The 19,916-nt window shown below is 38.3% G+C and overlaps 1 protein-coding gene across 37 annotated transcripts in view, besides 1 other annotated feature; it reads right to left on the bottom strand.

Annotated features, from left to right (window-relative positions):
* SP140 (SP140 nuclear body protein) overlaps positions 1-19,916 on the bottom strand; it is a 130,421-nt gene that overhangs the window by 35,958 nt on the left and 74,547 nt on the right. For all 37 annotated transcript variants that reach the window (XM_047443073.1, XM_011510517.4, XM_006712223.4 and 34 more), the window contains 3 exons: positions 10,996-11,082; positions 10,661-10,777; positions 9,975-10,028 (listed from right to left, as the gene is read on the bottom strand). In XM_047443073.1, coding sequence (XP_047299029.1) covers positions 9,975-10,028; positions 10,661-10,777; positions 10,996-11,082 — 258 coding nt within the window. The remainder of the gene's footprint in view (positions 1-9,974; positions 10,029-10,660; positions 10,778-10,995; positions 11,083-19,916) is intronic.
* Positions 15,311-15,832: an enhancer, noted in NCBI's record as "H3K27ac-H3K4me1 hESC enhancer chr2:231129497-231130018 (GRCh37/hg19 assembly coordinates)". NCBI's record gives its function as "activates a minimal SCP1, AML or CMV promoter by ChIP-STARR-seq in naive H9 embryonic stem cells {active_cell/tissue: H9 hESC(naive)}" and the evidence as "EXISTENCE:reporter gene assay evidence [ECO:0000049][PMID:30033119]".

The raw sequence follows: 19,916 nt of genomic DNA, 5'->3' as shown, positions 1-19,916 counted from the left end.
GGGAGAAAGGGGAGAATATATAGTTTTATACCAATCCATTAAAAAGCAGGAAGGAGACACGAAAGATACAAATAGAGAATGGTCAACAATACCACAGAAGATATAGGTCCGTATACATCTGGAAACTCAATAAATGTAAACAAATTGAAATTTACCTATTAAGAAGCTAGGAATATCAGACAAAACTACAAAAGTTAAGTGCAGTTACAAGAGACATAAAAGAAAACTGAACAAAAGGGCATCACATAAAGTGAGTGGAAAATATTTTTAAAAAATCATAAAAGTTTGTGTAACAATGTTAGTACTTGGCAAAAGAGATTTTACGGCAAAAGCATTAACAGGGATAAAGCAGAATGCTGTATAATGATAAAAGAAAAACATCCATTAAAAAGTTACAAATCATAAATAGCCTCAAAATATTTAAAGTAAAGCAACAAGATAAAGAGGAATTGGCAAATATACAACCATGTGCAAGAATTTAACACATTTGTATGCAAATCTGATGGAGCAAATAAAATTTAAATTACTATGGACACAAATTTAAACAAGAAAGTTGTGCTTGATAAAAAAGATATATATGGAGTGAAGCCAGAGCCTAACAAATAGTTCAAATGTACATTATTCTCAAGGGGCAGAAAACATTTACAAATATTGACCACACATTAGGTTGCAAATTAAAAAAAAAAACACCTTGGTTTAGGGGTGGTATATGCCTGTATTCCCACTTATTTGGGAGTCTGAGGCAGGAGGATTACTTGAGCCCAGGAGTTTAAGGTCATCCTGGAACACACAGTGAGGCCCCATCTTTTAAAAAACAAACTAGCAAAAAACAGATCAGCTGTTGTCGAGAACCAGAGAATGGAGAGAAGAATGCAAGTGGACTTTGGGGTGATGAAAATGATACATGTCATGATTGTGGAGGTATTTATATAACTGCACACATTTGTTAAAACAAATTAGGTTATACCTTAAGGTGATGAATTTGTTTTATGCAAATTACAGCTCAATAAAGCAGATAAGAAAAGTGGATGCGTGGAACATCTACATAAAGAAAATTCTGTAATTGTTGTCCTTATCAAAGATTACTTGAACATACATGCATGAGTGTTTATTTCTGGGTTCCCTATTCAATTGCATTGGTTTATGTCTGTTTTTATGACAGTACCATATGGTTTTGATTACTCTTGCTTTGTAACATAGTTTAAAATCAGACAGTATGATGCCTCCAGTTTGTTTCCTTTTTTTTCAAAATTACTTTGACTATTTGGAGTCTTTTATGATTCAATACAAATTTTAGGATTCCTTTTACCTATTTCTGTGAAAAATGTCATTTAAATTTTGATAGAGATTTCATTGACTCTTCAGATCACTTTGGGTAATATGGACATTTTAACACTATTCTTCCAGTTCATGAACATGAGATATCTTTCCATTTATTTGTATATTTTTCAATTTCTTTCATCAATGTCATAGTTTTCAGTGTGCAAATATTTCACCTCTTGTTAACTTGGTTCCTATTTTATTCTTTTTGTTGCTATTGTAAATGGGATTGTTTTCTTAATTTATTTTTTGGATAGTTCATTGTTAGTGCATAGAAACACAACTGATCTTTGAATTCTGCAACCTTACTAATTCATTTGTTAGTTCCAACAGTTTTTTGATGGAGTCTATAGGGTTTTCTACATAGAAGATCATGTCACCTGCAAACAGAGACAATTTAACTTCTTTCCAATTTGGATGCCTTTTCTTTCTTTCTTACTTGCTCTGACTAGGACTTACATCACTATGCTGAATACAGATGTCAAGAAGGGGCATTTAATCTTGACAAGGGTGCCAAGAATAAATAATGGAGAAAAGACAGTCTCTTCAATAAATGGTCCTAAGAAAACTGAATATCCACAAGCAAAAGAATGAAATTAGACGCTTGGCTTACACCATATACAAAAATTAACTCAAAATAGATTAAAGGCTTAAATGTCAAATATAAAACCATAAAATTCCTAGAAGAAAACAGAGGAAAAGCTCCTTGAGGTTAGTCTGGGCAATTATTCTTTAGATATGACACCAGAAGCACAGGAACAAAAGCAAAAATAAACAAGTGGACCTACATCACTCTAAAAAGCTTTTGTACAGCAAATGAAATAATTGTAAAAATGAAAAGGCAACCTACGGAATAGGAGAAAACATTTGCAAACCATGTATTTGATAAGGGTTACTACCTAAATATATATAAGGAACTCACATAACTCAATAGCAAAAAAACAAAACAAAACAAAAGCATGTCATAATCTGATTTAAAAATGGGCAAAGGATCTTAATAAATGTTTTCCCAAAGAAGACATATAATGGCCAATGGATTATAAAAAAAGCAATCAACATTACTAATCATGAGAGAATTGTAACTCAAAACCATAATGAAACATCACCTCACACCTATTAGGATAGCTATTAGCAAAAAGGCAGGAGATAACAAGTGTTGGTGAGGTTGTGGGGAAAAGGAACTCTTGTATGCTCTAAGTGGGAATGTAAATTGGTACAGCCATTATGGAAAACAGTATGGAGGTTCCTCAAAAAGTTAAAAACAGAAATACATACAATCCAGAAATCTCACTTTGGGGTATGAATTTATAGGAAATGAGACCAATATCTTAAAGAGGTATCTGCATCCACATGTTCATTGCAGCATAATTCACAGTAGTTAAGACATAGAAACAACCTAAGTCTCTATCAACAGATGAATGGATAAAGAAATGTGATAAGACACAGTTCTGTATATACTGGAAAACATACATAAAATAGTATTTTGAATCATGAAGAAAAAAACTACCAGTGTTATATCTCTTAATTACCATCTCACATCATATACCAATAAATGAATTCCATGTGTGTTATAGATTTAAACATTAAAAAGTATTCCAAATATTCTAGAAGTAAGTAAACATGTTTCTAAATTATGAGGTGGACAATATATTTGCAAATTTTACATAAAACCTGGAAACCATAAATGAAAAGGCTGACAGATTTGATCAGATAAAAATTTCAAGCTTCTTTGGGATAAAGATACAGGCATATCTTAGAAATACTTGGTTTCAGACCACTGCAATAAAGTGAATATTGCAATAAGGTAAATCACACAAATGTTTTGGTTTCCCAGTGCATATGAAAGTTATGTTTACACTATACTGTGGTATATTAAGTGTGCAATAGCATTGTGTCTAAAATAAAATGAACATATCTTAAACATACTTTATTGCTAAATGTAATGCTCATGATCACTTGAGCCTTCAGTAAGTCATAATCTCTTTGCTGGTGGAAAGTCCTGCCTGGATGTTGGTGGCTACTGACTGACTAGGGTGGTGACTGATGAAGGCTGAGGTGTCTGTGGAAATTTCTTAAAATAAGACAGTAATGAAGTTTGCTAAATTGATTGGCTCTTCCTGAAAGATTTCTCTGTAGCATGCAATGCTATTGAGTAGCATTTTATCACGGTAGATCCTCTCAAATCTTGCTGCTGCTTTATCAACTAATATATTCTAAATCCTTTGTTGTCATTTCAACAATGTTCACAGCATTTTCACCAGGTATAAATTCCATCTCAAGAAACTGCTTTCTTTGCTCATTCTTAAGAAGCAACTCCTTGTCCACTCAAGGTTTATCATGAGATTGCAGCAATTCAATCACATCTTCAGGCTCCACTTCTAATTCTGGTTCTCTTGGCTATTTCTGCCACACTTGCAATTACTTCTTCACTGATGTGTTGAACACTTCAAAGTCATCCACGAGGATTGTAATCAACTTCTTCTAAATTCCTGTTAATGTTGATATTTTGACCTCCTCTCATATATCATGAATGTTATTATGGCATGTAAAATGGTGAATCCTTTCCAGAAGGTTTCCAATTGACTTTGCCAAGATTCATCAGAAGAATCATTATGTATAGAGACAGCTATAGCATTACAACATGTGTTTCTTAAATATTAAGACTTGCAAGTTGAAATTACTTTTTGATCCATGGGCTGCAGAATGGACGTTGTGTTAGCAGGCATGGAAATAATGCTAATCACCTTGTACATCTCCATCAGAGCTCCTGGATGACTAGGTGCACTGTCAATGAACAGTAATATTTTGAAAGGAATCTTTTTTTCTGAGGAGTATGTCTCAACAGTGGGTTTAAAATACTCAGTAAACCATGTTGTAAACAGATGTTCTATGATCTGGGCTTTATTTTACTTATACAGCATAGGCAGAGTAGACTTAGAATAATTCTTAAGGGCCCTAGGATTTTCAGAATGGTGAATGAGTATTGGCTTCAAGGGAAAGTCACCTGCTGCCTTAGCTTCTAACAAGAGACTCAGCCTGTTCTGTGGAGCTTTGAAACCAGGCATTGACTTCTCCTCTCTAGCTATGACAGTTCTAGATGGCATCTTCTTCCAATAAAAGGCCGTTTAGTCTACACTGTAAAACTGTTGTTTAGTGTAGCCATCTTCATCTAGGATCTTGGCTAGATCTTCTGGACAACCTTCTGCAGCTTTTACATCAGCATTTGCAGCTTCGCCTTGCACTTTAATGTTATGAGACAGCTTCTTTCCTTCAACCTCAGGAACCAACATCAGCTAGCCACAAACTTTTCTTATGCAGCTTCTCACATCTTTCAGCCTTCATAGAATTGAGGAGAGTTTAGGCCTCACTCTGGATTAAGGCTTGGCTTAAGGGAATGTTGTGGCTGGTTGGATCTTCTATCCAGACCACTCATACTTTCTCCATATCAGCGATAAGACTGTTCTACTTTCTTATTATTCGTATGTTCACTGGAGTAGCACTTCATAACTTGGCTGATTGTTTGCTGCAACAGGCCTAGTTTTCAGCCTCTCAGCTTTTGACATGGCTTCCTAACTAAGCCTCACCATTTCTAGCTTTTTATTTAAAGTGAGACACATGTGACGCTTCCTTTAACTTGAGCCCTTAGAGGCCATTGTAGGATTATTAATTGACTTAATTTCCATATTTTTTTGTCTCAGGAAAGAGGAAAGTCAAAGAGAGGGAGAGAGACAGGGGAACAGCTGGTCAGTGAAGCAGTTGAAACACACACAACATTTATTAGGTTTGCCATCTTATACGAACACAGTGTGTGGTGCCATAGACAGTTAGAATAGTAACATCAAAGATCATTGTTACCACTGTTCATACTACCATAACAGGAAGAAGAATAATAATAAAATTTGAAATATTGCGAGAATTACCAAAATGTGACAGAGACACAAAGTGAGCACATGCTGTTGGAAAAAGGGCACCAACAGACTTTTTTTGACACAGGGTTGTCACAAACATTTAATTTGTAAAACTCACAATATCCTCAAAGTACAATAAAGTGAAGTGCAATCAAACGAGATGTGCCTATACCACAAAGAAACGTAAAAGAATAACATCAAATATGACAACACACGTAGTCAACCCTTAGTATATATCATATATAAGTATTCCTGTTGTCCTAAAGCATGGGGAAAAAAAGACAACACACTGGCAAAATATAAGTTCCAGGCACTCGTAGGAGAAGAAACAAAAATGGCCAATAACAAATGAAGAATGCTCAACTGCACCAAAAATGAAAGCAATGTAAGTTAAAACAGGAATGAAATAAAACTTTTTTTTACAGTTAAGTTGGCAAGATATTAAATGTTTATAATATCCAGTGCATGTTATATTGATTTAAAAAGAAATGTAACAGTTTAAATGTATTCATTTAGATATATCACATAATTCTAAATGTGCTAACAAAGCATAGAAAAAAATATAGAAATATGTACAGCAAAGTTTACAGGGAACAAGTATTTTAAAATCAGAAAAAAAAAGCATAAAGGTGTAAGTAATTTGAAAAAATATAAATTGTTAGTTTAGAAGATTGAATATAACCGTATAGGGTGAAATTTTTTTTTTGTCTTACAAAAGGTATTGCTGCTGTAATAAATTACCATAAATTTAGTGACAAAAAAATCACAGATTTGTGGTCTCATAATTCTGAGGGTTGGAAATCTGACATGCACCTAACAGGGCTAAAATCAATCAAGGTGTCTGCAGGGCTTTGCTCCTTTCTGGAGGCCACAGAGGAGCCTTTTCCAGCTTCGGAAGGCTGCCCACATTCTTTAGTTGATGGACCCCTGCATCCATCTCCACATCCAGCTCTATTCTCTCTGACCATTCTTCCATAGTCACACATCCCTCTCTCGACAGAAGGATATGTTCTCTGACTTTAGTGGCCCATGTGATCTTATCTCAAGATCCTTAACTTAATTACATCTTCAAAGTCCCTTCTGCCATGTAAAGTAACAGATTATAGGTTCTAGGAGATAGGACATGGAAATCTTTGTTTCTCTTGGTACAAAACCCTCAAGAGTCTTATGGATCTCCTGCATATATCATGGGGATTTCTGATTTCCTCCATTAGACATGAAGCTTCCCTACAGATCTTTCCTAGGAATTCACACATCTATTTTTTTTTTTTTTTATACTTTAAGTTCAAGGATATATGTGCAGGTTTGTTACAAAGCTAAACATGTGTCATGGGTGTTTGTTATACAGATTATTTCATCATCCAGGTATTAAGCCTCATACTTATTAGTTATTTTTCCTGATCCTCTCCCTCCTCCAACCCTTCACCTTCTGAACCTTCTGATAGGCTTCAGTGTGTGTTGTTCTCCTCTAGGTGTTCATGTGTTCTCATCATTTCGTTACCACTTATAAGTGAGAACATGTGGTGTTCAGTTTTCTGTTCCTGCATTAGTTTGCTAAGGATAATACTCTCCAGCTCCATCCATGTCCCTGCAAAGCACATGATCTTATTCTTTTTTTATGGCTGCACAGTACTCCATGGTGTACATGAACCACATTTTCTTTATCCAGTCTATCATTGCTGGACATTTAGGTTGATTCCATGTCTTTGCTACTGTGAACAGTGCTGAGATAAGCATACATGTGCATATGTCTTTATAATAGAATGATTTATATTCCTTTGGGTATATACTCAGTAATAGGATTGCTGGGTCAAATGGTATTTCTGTCTTTAGGTCTTTGAGGAATTGCCACACTGTCTTCCACAATAGTTGAACTAGTTTACACTCCCAGCAACAGTGTGTATAAGCATTCCTTTTTCTCCACAACCTCGTCAGTATCTGTTGTTTTTAGACCTTTTAATAATAGTCATTCTGACTGGTGTGAGATGGTATCTCATTTTGGTTTTGATTTGCATTTCTCTAATCATCAGTGATGTTGAGCTTTGTTTCATATGATTGCTGGCTGCATGTATGTCTTCTCTTGAAAAGTTATCTGTTGATATCCTTTGCCCACTTTTTAATGGGGCTGTTTGTTTTTCTTGTAAATTTGTTTAAGTACCTTACAGATGCTGGATGTTAGATCTTTGTCAGATGCATAGTTTGCAAAAATTTTCTCCCATTCTGTAAGTTGTCTGTTTACTCTGATGATAGCTTCTTTTGCTGTGCAGAAACTCTTTAGTTTAATTAGATCCCATTTTTCAATTTTTGCTTTTATTGCAATTGCTTTTGGCATCTTTGTCATGAACTCTTTGCCCATGCCTATGTCCTGAATGGTATTGCCTAGGTCATCTTCCAGGGTTTTTATAGTTTTGGGTTTTACATTTAATTCTTTAATCTGTCTTGAGATAATTTTTGTATATGGTGTAAGGAAGGGGTCCAGTTTCAATTTTCTGTATATGGCTAGCTGATTATCCCAGTACCATTTACTGAATAAGGAATCCTTTTCCCATTGCTTGTTTTTGTCAGGTTTGTCAAAGATCAGTTAGTTGTAGGTGTTTGGTCTTATTTCTGGGTTCTCTTTTCTGTTCCACTGGGCTATGTGTCTGTTCTTGTACCAGTACCATCTTGATTTGGTTACTGTATTAGTCTGTTTTCATACTGTTGATAAAGACACACCCAAGACTGGGTAATTTATACAGGAAAAAGAGTTTAATGGACTTACAGTTCCATGTGGCTGGGGAAGCCTCACAATCATGGTGGAAGACAAGGAGGAGCAAGTCACGTCTTACATGGATGATGGCAGGCAAAGAGAGAGAGCTTGTGCAGGGAAACTCCCCCTTATAAAACTATTAGATCTCATGAAGACATATTCACTATTATGAGAATAGCACAGGAAAAACCGGCCCCTATGATTCAATTACCTGCCACTGGGTCCCTCCCACAATACTTGGGAATTGTGGGAGATACAATTCAAGATGAGATTTGAGTGGGGACACAGCCAAACCATATCAGTTAATGTAGCCCTGTAGTATGGCTTGAAATTGGGTAGCATGATATCTCCAGCTTTGTTCTTTTTGCTTAGGATTGCCTTTGCTATTCAGGCTCTTTTTTGGTTCCATGTGAATTCTAAAATCGTATTTTCTAGTTATGTGAGGAATGTCAATGGTAGCTTAATGGCAATAGCATTGAATTTATAAATTGCTTTGGGCAGTATGACCATTTTAAAATGATATTGATTCTTCCTATCCATGAACATGGAATGTTTTTCCATTTGTTTGTGTCATCTGTCATTTCTTTGAACAGTGGTTTTTAGTTCTCCTTGTAGAGATCTTTCACCTCCCTAATTAGCTGTATTCCTAGGTATTTTATTCTTTTTGTAGCAACGCACATCTATTTTTGACTTCTGCTGAGATGGCTGAGGGACTTATGAGTCACATGCTACGTCTCTTCAAATAACTTTTTTTGTGAATGTATAATCTGACCTTTCACTACTTCCCAGGGAACTGGCAAAAAGTCTTTGTTGTTTCTACCAAGCACACGTCCCTGACAGTGAATCTCCTCATTTTATCATGTTTTTTGACCTGGATAGGCTGGGAATTTTCTAAATCATCAAGACTTGATTCTTTTTCGTTTAGCAGCTCTTCCTTCAATATACCTCTTCCCTCTTGCATTTTACTATAATTAGCAAAAGACACCACAACACACCATGATCACTGTGTTTGGAAATCTCCTTAGCTATAGATCCAGAAAGTTCTGCTTTTCACATGAGTACAGGACAGACCACTATATAATAAGGAGGCCCTTTCCACATCTTTCTTATGTCCTTCTGAGTGCTCACCAGTAACACAGTTAACCTCCATATTTTTACTAACAGTCTGCTCATGATGATCCAGGTTTTCTCTAACGCAATATAGGCTTTCTCTCCCATGTTCTTCACTTCCTTCTCAGTCCTCACTAGCACAGTCTTTAGCATCCATGTTTCTACTAAGGACTACTCAAGGCAATATAGGCTTTTCCGATCATAATCTAAAATTCTTCCAGCCTCTGTCCATTGCCCAATCCCAAAGGCATGCCAACACTTTCAGGAATATGTTAATAGCCACACCCTACTTCTAAGTACCAAAATCTGTATTACTCTTAATTGCTGCCATAACAAATTACCACCAATTTAGTGGTTTAAAACAACACAAATGTATTTTCTTCCAGTTATGTCAGTGAGAAGTGTGACATGGGTCTCACTGGCTAAAGTAATTCCTTTCTGGGAGCTGGAAAGGACAAGCTATTTCCTTGTCTTTTCAGCTCCTAGAGGTCACCCATATTCCTTGGTCCCTTCTTCCATCTTCAAAGCCTGCAACATGACATATTTCTGATGATTCTTCCATAGTCACATCTTCCTTTCTCCACAGCCAGGAAAAGTTTTCCACTCTTTAAGGCCTACAAGATTAGATTGTGCCCACCCCATAACCCAGGATCATCTCCCCATTTCAAGGTCTCTAGCTTAATTGTATCTGTAAAGTCCCTTTTGTCATGTAAGATAGCAGATTACAGGTCCAGGGATTAGGAGGTAGACATCTTAGGGAGGTCATCCTTCTGTCTACCACAGTATTACAAATAATAACAGAAATAGTAACAATGACAAAATTAAAACTCTGGCATTAAAAACGTATTTGTAATACCAAAAGCAAATAAATTCTTATTTATTCTTACTTCTTTTCCTCTTGGGTTTTCCCAAAGTGGAGTTGTTTGCAATATCCACAGTATCTGGAAAATAACAAGTGGTGGTGAGGAAACAGAAATTAATAAATAAAAGTTATAGATTTTAGGACAATGTATACTACAGAAGGCTTGAGTTTATACAGATGCTTGGATAATCATTCCTCTCTTTCTTCTAGGGGAACCAAAAACCCACCGAACTGAGAACTAGGAGTCTAGGATGGGCCCTGGGTCTTCTATCAAAAATACGTGTTGGGCTAAGAAGAGTAGACCTGCAGTCTTTCCTCCTGACAATTAAGTACCGGGATTAGTTGTCTTTTGAGTGTGGCCTTTCTAAGTTGTAGCAAAGTGACACTATTATCTACCAGCAGAAGTTCACTGGGGTATCCTGGGCTTCATGGAAGATTGGGTGTAACTTAATATACTAATGCAATACACAAGATAAGTGCCATTGCAAAGAGTATACTTCTATGACATCATCTATGTCTAATCAACAGAGTCCATCCTCTTAAATAGTACTTTATAACGATCTCTTGCCTCCCTGCAGCTCCCCAAAGGCTCAGGTCAAGCAAATGCGGAGAATAGAATTCTGGACAGACTGGAGCACCTACCTCCACCCTACTGGGGGTCTGTGGGGCCCACTGAGCCACCCCCATCCCACGGCCCTCAGACAGCCTTACCCATTGTGCCACACGCTTGATCACTTTCCGTCCTTGCTTCTGGGCTTCCTGGCACCTCTTCTGAGAAACACATGACACAGGAACACTTCTCATTTTCATATGCTGATTGCTCCGCTCCTGGGCCAAAATTGTGATTCATGAAGACTTTCAGTTTGACCCAGTGACTCTATTTTCTGCACCCTTGTTGCTCCCCCTTCTTTACTTTTTCCTCTGAAATCTTCTCCTTTCACTGCTCCTCCTTATATTTGACTCTTCCTTTAAGTCTATTTTTTCTCCTCCTTTTTCTCTTTATCAGAACTCTGTTTCTGTTTTCACTATTTTTAAGTCATAATTACCTGGTACATTATCATATAGCAGGCTAGAAGCAAGCTCTTCTGATTCTCCTTCTTCATTCATTGGGTGATTTTCTAGTTCACTAGACACTAATGAGAAACAAGAAAATTATTGTCCAAGGATCCTGAGACAATGACCACAGAAGAGTTTCCAGTGCTGCTATACTGCACACTGATATTCTGAGCTAAGATGAACTGTTCTCTGGAAAAAAATATACCTGCTCCAATAATCACATTTGACACATAACAGAGCCACGCTCTCCCCATGTTATGCACCTCATCCTCCTTTTCTCTACTTTTATTTTTGTACTTGTAGTCCTGAGAATAAAGCAAGGAAACTCTTATCATTCCAGAAAATACTACTGTTCTTTGACAATAGTGAAAAGCAACTATTTAAACTCATCCCAATTGGCCACTGACTACTTATATCCCCAGTCACATTTCTGAAAGCGAGCCCATTACTGGCAGTTCTACATATCTGAAGCCCAGCCAGTCAGCAACACCCCCTCCACAAAGCCTGCATTGATGGCCAAATGCTAAATTACTCATAAACACTCCTGTTTCTGAAGGTCTGGAGTCCCTACACAATATGCTTCCTAAAACTCTCTATAAAACTGCAGTTTCCTTTTCTATAGAGACTGTGTCTTACAAGCACAGGGCCTCCTCCCACTAGGTGCCTTGCTTAGCTAGGAATAAATCAGCTTTTAGTTTCAGATTATGAGTAGTAGCCTAGCCCTTCAAAAATTGGAGTTCCTGCCGAGATTATCTTGAAGATTCTTGCTGGGGAGTGTCCTGTGGGACCCTTGGAACCACAGGCATGAATCTCAGGCCACTGTGTCCAGCTCAGGTCATTTTTCTGACCTACTGCCAAGTGAATCTTTCTCAACAACAACTCGAACTCTGACTTGTTTCACTGAGCTCCTAGTTCTGAATTTATCTTATTTAAACATGGGTATACAATTAGATACAATTAGATATTTTCAGTTGGAAGTACACCACTTAGCAAACATTTTCTCAATTAATGTGCTTATTTACTTATTTACTTGTTTCACTACTTCATCTACTGTTACCTTTCTTTTGTCTTTTTTTTTTTTTTTAGACAGAGTTTCACTCTTGTCGCCCAGGCTGGAGTGCAACCGCGTAATCTCGGCTCACTGCAACCTCCGCCTCCTGGGTTCAAGAGATTCTCCTGTCTCAGCCTCCCAAAGTAGCTGGGATTACAGGTGCCTGCCACCACGCCTGGCTAATTTTTGTAATTTTAGTAGAGAGGGGATTTCTCCATGTTGGCCAGGCTGGTCTCGAACTCCTGACCTCAGGTGATCCACTCATCTCGGCCTCCCAAAGTGCTGGGATTATAGGCATGAGCCACCACACCCGGCCTCTTCTGTCTATTTTTAAAAAGTCTTATCTCTGCCAGGCATGGTGGCTTATGCCTGTTAATAGGTCATATTACAGGCAGATGGCTTGAGCTCAGGAATTCTAGACTATCCTGGGCAACATAGCAAAACCCCACCAAAAAAACAAAAAGTCTTATTTCATGTGTGCTTGTTCCTGATTTTCCTGTGCTTTCTGAATGTTAGAAGACAGTGATCCAAAGCAAACAGCTGGTGGTCAAGGTCTGATAAGTCCTCAATTCAAGCCAGCCCCTAAAACTAATGGATGTGGGTCCATTAGACAGTAGCCAAACTGTGCAAAGATGTTCGGTCACATTTTTTCTTGGGTCCCTCATCAAAACCTTCATGAGGGCACCTAGTGTCTTGTCAATTTGTGAAAGAAAATCATTTTGTTTAGTATGTAATCTGGAGTCAACTACAATCATGTAATTAATCATATGTCCCCTTTTCAGTTTCTGCTTCATTCATGTGGAACACACCATTCACACTTATACTGAAATATAGTGGCCTCTTTGCTGTTTGTCACGGGATTGTCTTTGCCAAAGCCATAATCTCCCCGACAAAATGTTCACTTCCTCTGTATACTTTCATCATGATTCTAACTCTTGTACTTTTCTTAATAACTGGCAAAATTTTCCCTAAAATGACTCTGGCTTGCAATGGGGAGGTTTTGTCATGTCCAAAGTAAGTAACACATTTGACAAGTAGGTCTATAAAAGAAGAGAAAAAAATCACTGAATGTTTCCACATCTCAACCAGTAATCTATTACTTTCAGACCATTATCTGAGGAACACTGTTTTCAACAAAACCTCTATAAATGTAATAGGTAGGGATCTATTCTGCAAATAGAACTACCAGATTAAAGGTTCAGAAGAAGGACTAATTTTAGAAGTCCTGGAAAATTCTCTGACACATGATCTATGTATAGTTGACCTGACCATTAGTATACCTACACTACGGATGATTTGAGGTCTGCAAGCAATAAACAAAATAGGTATACCTCACTTCCCTGTACCTCCTAACCAGATTACTACAATCTCTTCAGTCTCACCTAAAGCCAAAATTTTTAATATATTTATGTTCAGCTTTGTTTAATGTCTCACTTGATAAAGATAAATATTATTTGCTTGGGAAAATCAGTGGCTTATCTGGACAGTTATTTTCTAGGAATTTCCTTGACGATAGGCAGAATTCTAAGATGGCCCCCAAATATTTCTTTCCCTAATCCTGAGGACTGTGAACATAATGAGATATTACTTCCATAATTACCTTATGTGATATGGCAGAGCTGTCCTTAAGAGAGACTAATAGAGTGGATCTGGTTTAACCTTATGAGCCTTTTAAGAGCAGGGAGTTTTCTCTAGCCAGCAGCAGAAGAGGAAGTCAGAGATTCAAAGTGTGAGAAGGATTCCACACAAGATTGCTGGCTTCAAGATGGAGGGGCAATGTATTAAGGAATATGATTGGCTTCCAGGAGCTGAGAGTGGTCCGTGACCAACAACCAGCAACAAAGCTGTGACCTCGGTTCAACAACCACGAGGAACTGGATTATGTCAACAACCTGGGTGAGCTCGATTGCAAGATTCTCAGAGCCTTCAGCCAAGACTTCAGCTGGGCTGACATCTTAATTTCAGCCTAAGGAGACTCTAAGCAGAGAACTAAGTTGAGCCCACCCACACTTCTGCTGGCAGGACTGTGAGATAACAAGTGGGTATTGTAGTAAGCCATTACATTTGTGGTTATTTGTCATGCAGCAATGAAAAACGAACACAACCATCTTCTTCCAAGTTTTAAATACGGCCTAAGGGATACAAAGCTCATACCTGCATCTTCTCTGATCTGATGCATAGGTCACCTCTATTATACTCTATAGATCTAGACATTTCTTAATCTATTCATTGAGTTGGGCAAAAATGGACATAAAACTTCTAAGGAAAAACTCCAAGTTTGTAAAACAAACAAAATGAAACAAAACAAAAACTAGGCTATTTTCTCAGACATAATCTATTGGCTGAGGAAATAATATTATATAAAGAAATGTTACAATGTCTTCAGAGTTTCCCAAGACCAATGACTGAAGGAAAGATAAGAGGATTTCTAGGATTAACTGAGTCTTGAAGACAATGGGGGTCAATCTTTTCTGAAATACCAGGCCTCCCTACATTTGACCCAAATATCTTGGGGCCATTCTCATGGAACACAGAAATGGAACAGATCTTCACGATTTTAAAATACTCCTTCATCAGTCACCCACACTGAATCTTCTATTATCACATTATCAGGAGACAGGTCTCCTGTCTCCCTTTCTCCTTTATCATAATCCTTTTCTTTTATACGTACATAAAAAATAGGCCATGGTTCGTGACCAGCCTAGGCAACATGACCCTCTGAAGGAAGCAGATTGCACCTGCAGGACCCAGGAGACCGCCCCCCCCCGTAAAACTGAGAGTGCCCCAACTGCAGAAGTGGGAAAAGGAGACCCTCCTCTCCCGAACACACACCCCCACTGGAGAAGCTGAAGGTCTGTTTGTGGGAGAAGTTTCCGACTTTACCTGGAGCTGAGTCAATCTGAAGAGATGAGGGAAATACAGGTGTAGGGGGAAGCAGCGGAAAGGGCCTGGGAGGTGGCTGGGTCCCCTAGAAGGCCATTCCTGCCTGGCACCACAGGGACCCAATGGGAGAGGAGCAGGGGGTAAAACTACACAGGGAGAAGCCAATCTCTAGCTGAACTTTGTAACAATTTGAACAGGGTGAGACGCCTCCTGGACAGAACTCTTGTGAGGGCGCAAATCCGGTGTGCAGACTCCACAGGTGGGGAAGAACCAAGCCTTTTTCTTCTGCAGCTGGGAGGCAGATAGCCTGGGGCAGGTTTTCAAGCCTGGAAATGGTCTGGGGGCTGTTGGGGCGGGGCATGGTGGGAGTGAGTCTGGCCCTTTGGTTTGCATGGGAGCTGGGTGAGACCTGTGACTGCCAGCTTTCCCCCATTTCCCTGACAACCTGCATGACTCAGCAGAGGCAGCCATAATCCTCCCAGGTACACAACTCCAGTGACATGGGAATCTCACCCCCATCCCCCACAGCAGCTGCAGCAAGACATGTCCAACGAGAGTCTTAGCTCAGACATGCCTAGCCCCTCCCCCACCTGACGGCTCTTCCTTATCCACCCTGGCAGCTGAAGACAAAGGGCATATAACCTTAGGAATTCTAGGGCTGGCCCATCACCGGTTCCTCCCCATAATACCACAGCTGATGCTCTCTGGAAAGTGCCACCTCCTGGCAAGAGGCCAACCAGCACAAAAATAGAACATTAAACCACCAAAGGACCCCCATGGAGTCCATTGCACCCCCTTCACCTCCAGCAGAACAGGCACTGGTATCCACAGCTGAGAGACCCATAGATGGTTCACATCACAGGACTCTGTGCAGACAACCCCGAGTACCAGCCTGGAGCCTGGTAGACTCACTGGGTCACTAGACCCAGAAAAGAGACAACAATTACTGCAGTTTGGCTCACAGGAAGCCACATCCATAGAAAAAGGAGGAGAATAGTACATCAAGGGAACATCCTATGGGACAAAAGAATCTGAACAACAACCTTCAGCCCTAGACCCTCCCTCTGACAGAGCCTACCCAAATGAGAAGGAACCAGAAAACCAACCCTGGTAATATGACAAAACAAGGCTCTTTAACACACCCCAAAAATCACACTAGTTCACCAGCAATGGATCCGAACCAAGAAGAAATCCCTGATTTACCCAAAAAAGAATTCAGGAGGGTAGTTATTAAGCTAATCAGGGAGGGACCAGAGAAAGGCAAAGCCCAATGCAAGGAAATCCAAAATATGATACAAGAAGTGAAGGGAGAAATATTCAAGCAAATAGATAGCTTAAAGAAAATCAATAAAAAATTCAGGAAACTTTGGACACACTTTTAGAAATGTGAAATGCTCTGGAAAACCTCAGCAATAGAATTGAAAAAGTAGAAGAAAGAAATTCAGAGCTCAAAGACAAGGTCTTTGAATTAACCCAATCCAACAAAGATAAAGTAAAAAGAATAAGAAAATATGAACAAAGCCTCCAAGAAGTCTGGGATTATGTTAAATGACCAAACCTAAGAATAATCGGTGTTCCTGAGGAAGAAGAGAATTCTAAAAGCTTGGAAAACATATTTGGGGGAATAATCAAAGAAAACTTCCCTGGCCTTGCTAGAGACCTAGACATCCAAATACAAGAAGCACAAAGAACACCAGGGAAATTCATCATAAAAAGATCTTCGCCTAGGCACATTGTCATCAGGTTAACCAAATTTAAGACGAAGGAAAGAATCTTTAGAGCTGTGAGACAGAAGCACCAGGTAACCTCCAAAGGAGAACCTATCAGATTAACAGCAGATTTCTTGGCAGAAACCATATAAGACAGGAGGGACTGGGGCCCTATCTTCAGCCTCTTCAAACAAAACAATTATCAGACAAGACTTCTGTATCCAGCAAAACTAAGCATCATATACGAAGGAAAGATACAGTCTTTTTCAGACAAACAAATGCTGAGAGAATTCGCCATTACCAAGCCACCACTACAAGAACTGCTAAAAGGAGCTCTCAATATTGAAACAAATCCTAGAAACACATCAAAACGGAACCTCTTTAAAGCATAAATCACACAGGACCTATAAAACAAAAATAAAATACAAGTTAAAAAATAAAAACAAAAAGTACACAGGCAACAAAAAGCACAATGAATGCAATGGTACCTCACATTTTAATACTAACATTGAATGTAAATGGCCTAAATGCTCCACTTAAAAGATACAGAACCACAGAACCGATAAGAACTCACCAACCATCTGCTGCCTTCAGGAGACTCACCTAGCACATAAGGACTCGCATAAACTTAAAGTAAAGGGGTGGAAACAGGCATTTCTTGCAAAAGGACACCAAAAGCAAGCAGGGGTAGCTATTCTTATATTAGACAAAACAAACTTTAAGGCAACAGCAGTTAAAAGAGACACAGAGGGACATTATACAACGGTAAAAAGCCTTGTCCAACAGGAAAATACGACAATTCTAAACATATATGCACCTAACATTGGGGCTCCCAAATTTATAAAATAATTACTAATAGACCTAAGAAATGAGATAGACAGCAACACAATAATAGTGGAGAACTTCAATACTCCACTGACAGCACTAGACAGGTCATCAAGAAAGAAAGTCAACAATGAAACAATGGGTTTAAACTATACCTTGGAACAAATGGATTTAACAGATATATATAGAACATTTCATCCAACAACCACAGAATATACATTCTATTTAACAGTGCATGGAACTTTCTCCAAGATAGACCATATGATAGGCCATAAAACGAGCCTCAATAAATTTAAGAAAATTGGAATTATATCAAGCACTCTCTCAGACCACAGTAGAATAAGACTGGAAATCAACTCCAAAAGGCACCTCCAAAACCATGCAAATACATGAAAATTAAATAACCTGCTCCTGAATGAGCATTGGGTCAAAAACGAAATCAAGATGGAAATTAAAAAATTATTCAAGCTGAATGACAGTAATTCTTCAAACTGAATGACAATCAAAACCTCTGGGATAGAGCAAAGGCGGTGCTAAGAGGAAAGTTCATGGCCCTGAACACCTACATCAGAAAGACTGAAAGAGCACAAACTGACAATCTAAGGTCACATCTGAAGGAACTAGAGAAACAAGAACAAACCAAAACCAAACCCAAACCCAGCAGAAGAAAGGAAATAACAAAGATCAGAGCAGAACTAAATGAAATTGAAATAAAAAAAATACAAACGATAAATGAAACAAAAGCTGGTTCTTCGAAAAGGTAAATAAAATGGATAGACCATTGGCAAGATTAACCAAGAGGAGAGAAAACCCGAATAACGTCACTGAGAAATGAAACAGGAAATACTACAACTGACACCAGTGAAATACAAAAGATCATTCAAGGTTACTATGAATACCTTTATGTACATAAACTAGAAAACATAGAAGAGATGGATAAATTCCTGCAAAAATACAACCCTCCTAGTGTAAATCAGGAAGAATTAGATACCTTGAACAGACCAGTAACAAGCAGCAAGACTGAAATGGTAATTTAAACATTACCAACAAAAAAAAGTTCAGGATCAGACGGATTCACAGCAGAATGCTACCAGACAGTCAAAGAATTGGTACCAATCCTTTTGACACTATTCCACAAGATAGAGAAAGAAGGAACCCTCCCTAATTCATTCTGTGAAGCCAGCATCACCCTAATACCAACACCAGGAAAGGACATAGCCAAAAAAGAAAACTACAGACTGGTATCCTTGATGAACATAGATGCTAAAATCCTTAACAAAATACTTGCCAACTGAATCCAACAACATATCAAAAAGATAATCCACGACGATGAAGTAGGTTTCATACCAGGGATGCAGGGATGGCTTAACATATGCAAGTCAATAAATATGATACACCACATAAACAGAATTAAAAACAAAAATCACATGATCATTTCAATAGATGCAGAAAAAGCATTCAACAAAATCCAGCATCTCCTTATGATTAAAACTCTCAGCAAAATCAGCATACAAGAGACATACCTTAAGGTAATAAAAGCCACCTATGACAAACCCATAGCCAACATAATACTGAATGGGGAAATGTTGAAAGCTTTCCCTCTGAGAACTGAAACAAGACAAGGATGCCCACTCTCGCCACTCCTCTTCAACATAGTACTGGAAGTCCTAGCCAGAGCAATCAGACAAGAGAAAGAAATAAAGAGCATCCAAATTGGTAAATAGGAAGTCAAATTCTCACTGTTTGCTGATGATATGACTGTATACCTTGAAAACCCTAAGGACTCCCCCAGAAAGCTCCTAGAACTGATAAAAGAATTCAGCAAACTTTCTGGATACACGATTAATGTACACAAATCAGTAGCTTTTCTATATACCAACAGTGACCAAGCAGAGAATCAAATCAAGAACTCAACCCCTTTTACAATAGCTGCAAAACAACAACAACAACAACAACAAAAACTTAGGAATATACCTAACCAGGGAGTCGAAAGACCTCTACAAGGAAAACTACAAAACATTGCTGAAAGAAATCATAGACAACCTGAACAAATGAAAATACATCCCATGCTTCATGGATGGGTAGAATCAATATTGTGAAAATGATCATACCGCCAAAAGCAATCACAAATTCAATGCAATCCCCATCAAAATACCACCATCTTCTTCACAGAATTAGAAAAAACACCTCTAAAATTCATATGGAACCAAAAAGGAGCCCACAAAGCCAAAGCAAGACTAAGCAAAAAGAACAAATCTGGAGGCATCACACGACATGATTTCAAACTATACTATAAGGCCATAGTCACCAAAACAGAGTGGTACTGGTACAAAAATAGACGTAGACCAATGAAACAGAACAGAGAACCCAGAAGTAAACCCAAATACTTACAGCCAACTGATCTTTGACAAAGCAAACAAACCATAAAGTGGGGAAAGGACAC

The sequence above is a fragment of the Homo sapiens genome, chromosome 2 (genome assembly GCF_000001405.40).
Source record: "Homo sapiens chromosome 2, GRCh38.p14 Primary Assembly".
Lineage (NCBI taxonomy): Eukaryota > Metazoa > Chordata > Mammalia > Primates > Hominidae > Homo > Homo sapiens.
Note: the sequence above shows the minus strand (reverse complement) of the source record. Positions and strands in the feature narration are given on the sequence as shown.